This window comes from Homo sapiens, chromosome 21 (assembly GCF_000001405.40).
Source record: "Homo sapiens chromosome 21, GRCh38.p14 Primary Assembly".
Classification (NCBI taxonomy): domain Eukaryota; kingdom Metazoa; phylum Chordata; class Mammalia; order Primates; family Hominidae; genus Homo; species Homo sapiens.
In genome coordinates, this window is record NC_000021.9 from 31,059,786 (window position 1) to 31,063,463 (window position 3,678).

General features: G+C 38.4%; 1 pseudogene; it reads right to left on the reverse strand.

The window, feature by feature from the left end:
- On the reverse strand, positions 211-3,383 carry UBE3AP2 (ubiquitin protein ligase E3A pseudogene 2; annotated as a pseudogene).

Sequence of the window (3,678 nt, forward strand, 5' to 3'; positions counted from 1 at the left end):
CCCCCATCAATTACCACTCCTAGGCAAACACTTTTCTGATTTCTATCATCACAGATTAATTTTGTGTGTGCCAGAATTTCATATAAACGAAATCATGCAGGGTGTGCTATTTGGGGTCTGGCTTCATCTACTCAGCATCATGTTTTTGAGATGCATGCATGTGGCACTATTAGTAATTTACTCCATTATATTGCATTGTATGAAATTTTTTTCCAATTTCTCCCTTCCATCTTTATTGATTCTCAAGATTTTGCACAGAAAACTCTTTGGGGTCTAGAAGAGCAGTAATTGCATCACAGTTTCCAAGACTTCAAGTTTCAAAAGCAAATCATTAAAAAAAAAAATACAGCTCCTGATTTGAGTTAGATACAGGGACAAAAAAGTAGCACATACTTGAAGGTTACATGGTCTACAAATGGTGGCAATATTTTCCTTGGGAGAGTGGTTCTGTTGGTATGTATTTTTTAAATACTCAAAAGGCTCAACCTCAAGCAGTAATAAACACAAGCAAAAGTGATTTAACCCTTAAATAACTCAGAAAAACCTCTCTGTACATACAAGTGAAACAATATGTAACACTTTCACTCAAAAAAAATTATAATAATAAAGGATTTGTTCATATATGTAGCTGAAATCTGCTGTTCCGGCCCACATGTCCCCAGTAAAGAAGGGAGTCACAGACAACAGGTGACTACTGTGGTTTTCTTACAGCCTTTTTGTACTGGGACACTATCACCACCACAAATTTATCCCTCTTGTTATATTTTTAAATTTTTAAAAAATTTTTTCTTCCTTTTTTGTGTTTTGTTTTGTTTTACAGCATGCCAAATGCTTCACATATGTGATGGCCTTCAACAATCTCTCCTTAAGTTTTTCTTTGCCTGAATATTCTGGAAGTAAAAGCACATTAAAGCAAGTAGGAGATGTAGGTAACCTTTCTGTGTCTGGGCCATTTTTGGCTAGAATCATCACTAATTTTCCTGGTCCTCCCACAGGTGCTCTGTCTGTGCCCACTGTAAACTGCAAGAAGAGTCTTTTCTGTTCATCCATAAATGAATGATTTCCCAGAACTCCCTCATCAGAACGGAGTCCCTGGTATAGCCACCGTCATATTCCGTAGTTTCTTCTAGTGCTTGGAAATCTAGATTCTGGCTTCCACATATAAGCAATTCAATTTCTTCTGGTCTGAGTAAGTACTTTAAGGGAGATTCATTGGACACCGTATGAAAACTTCTCCGAAAAGCCTTGAACTGTTTTTCTACTGATTGAGAATGTAGTCAGAATAAAGATTGACAAATTTCTTCCTGTTTTCATTTGTAATTGGAATTTTATCACCATTTTCCTTTAGAGCATACATCATTGGGTTACCAAAAGATCTGTCTGTGATACCTGGAAAGTGATCATCATGTCATCTTCCACATTCCCTTCATACTCCAATAAATCTTTTAAACTCTGATATAAAACTGGGTGACAGTCTCCCAAGTGATAAAAAGTTCCTTTTTTCCCCATTACCTTCCTGTAGACAACCATGGGAAAATGTACACCCAGTATACAGTTATTGTAAATAGCCAGACCCAGTACTATGCCAATCAGAGTAAACCAACCCTCAGTTTGAAAAGATGGATTAGCCGGGTGTGGTGGCTCACGCCTGTAATCCCAGCACTTTGGGAGGCCGAGGCAGATGGATCACGAAGTCAGGAGATCGAGACCATCCTGGTTAACACAGTGAAACCCTGTCTCTACTAAAAATACAAAAATTAGCCGGGTGTGGTGGTGCACACCTGTAGTCCCAGCTACACAGGAGGCTGAGGCAGGAGAATTGTGTGAACCCGGGAGGTGGAGCTTGCAGTGAGCAGAGATCATGCCACTGCACTCCAGTCTGGGTGACAGAGCGAGACTCCATCTCAAAAAAAAAAAAAAGAAAAAGAAAGAAAAGAAAGGAAGATGGATTAAACCAAAACAATTTTGTAAGTTCATCGTACGTGAACATACCAATATCTGGATTGAAGATTTCCTCCACGACCAGCTGAAAAAATTATTTGGAAACACCTCCCTCACCTTGTTCTCCTTCAAATTCCACATAGAACTGCTTCAAGTCTGCAGGATTTTCCATAGTGATCATCTCTAGCCGGACAAGTGCATCATCTATGATATGGTCACATCTAACAATGAGTCTCAAATATGGATTCAACTGCTGTCCTTGAACTAAGCTGTAGAGAACAGTGATTCTTCGTTCACTGTACATGCGAATTCTATTGTCATAATATAATCCCAAATTCTTTGTGACAGCATACGCTAAAAAGGGGTATGTCATAAAAGAGAATTTGTTCTGTTTCTACTTTGAAAACAGTATAATCTTTATGCATTTCTAGAACCTCCTTCAGTGGTTCATTAATAAACTCTTCAAAAGGGATAAGGGATTTTTGACAATCCAGGGTTTTAACACCAAGTTCATTTTCCAGGGGGTCCACTCAAGGACCTTTCTTGTTTCTTCTCTCTTCTTCCAAAAGCTCCTGAAGTGTCAGCTCACTGGACTCAGGGATGGGCTCTTCATCATCTTCCTCACTGTGATTTGTGTCCACTTCCCCTCCCACTACCATTTGCATAGTAAATCATTTTCAAGCACTTCGAAGCAGCAACAATGGCATCATCATCATTCACCAGATTTTGACTGTTAAATTCGTTGCTTATGACTTTGTAAGTAATAAGTTGCTGAACTGTCTCCATCATTCTCCGAATCTGGTCTGCATTGTATTTAGACCACAGTCTGATCAGCTTTCCTTGGGCTGCAAGGGGTAGCTTGCTCATTGCTTTGCAAAATAATGGCAAAGCCATTTCCAGATATTCAGGACTGTGGAGATTTCTGTTCTCCATTACTATAATGAACAAATTCAGATAATTAGGATCTTGAGAGTATACCTTGTGATACATCAAGTCACATTCCACGTTAGGTGACAAATATACAAGTGCATTGAGAAAGGCAATTTCAATTTTTTCATTAGAGAGCAATCTGGTGTAGACCCTTCTAATGGAATCAGTATCCACAGACACATCATCAGGGCCTAATTTTTGCAAATTGTTGTCTCCCTGTGAGCTATCACCTGTGCTTGAGGAAGATGCTTCTGAGTCTTCTTCCATAGCAGCAGCAGAACATGCAGCTTTTGCCTTTTCATTTTCATTCTTCTCTTCATCCTTTGCTTGAAGAGACTTCAGTTCTTCCTTGGTGTGTTGTTTAGCTTTCCAGAAGCTCTCTACCAATGCCTCAGCACTAGAAAAAACTCTTCCAATAACACAGTTAAGGGGGAATAATCCTCTCTTTCTCTACATAATTCAGTAATTTCATATACCTTCTCTTCTGTTAAGTAAGTCACATCTTTAAAATCTGTATGAAAATTTTACAGTTTATCTAGTCACCTGATAGACATTTAGATTATTCCCAATTTTTTACTACTATGAATAAAATTGCTATAAATGTTTACACACAAATATTTTTGGACATATATTTTTATTTATCTTGGGTAAATTGATCTACTAGCACTATGTGTCCCTAGATAAGGTGTAAACGTGCTGGGTCAAAGGGTAGATGAATGTTTCGCTTTATTAGAAACTGCCAGTTTTCCAAAGTGGTTGTACTTAAGTCTTTTTGGAGGGTAACTGCTCTTAGTACACATCATCTTC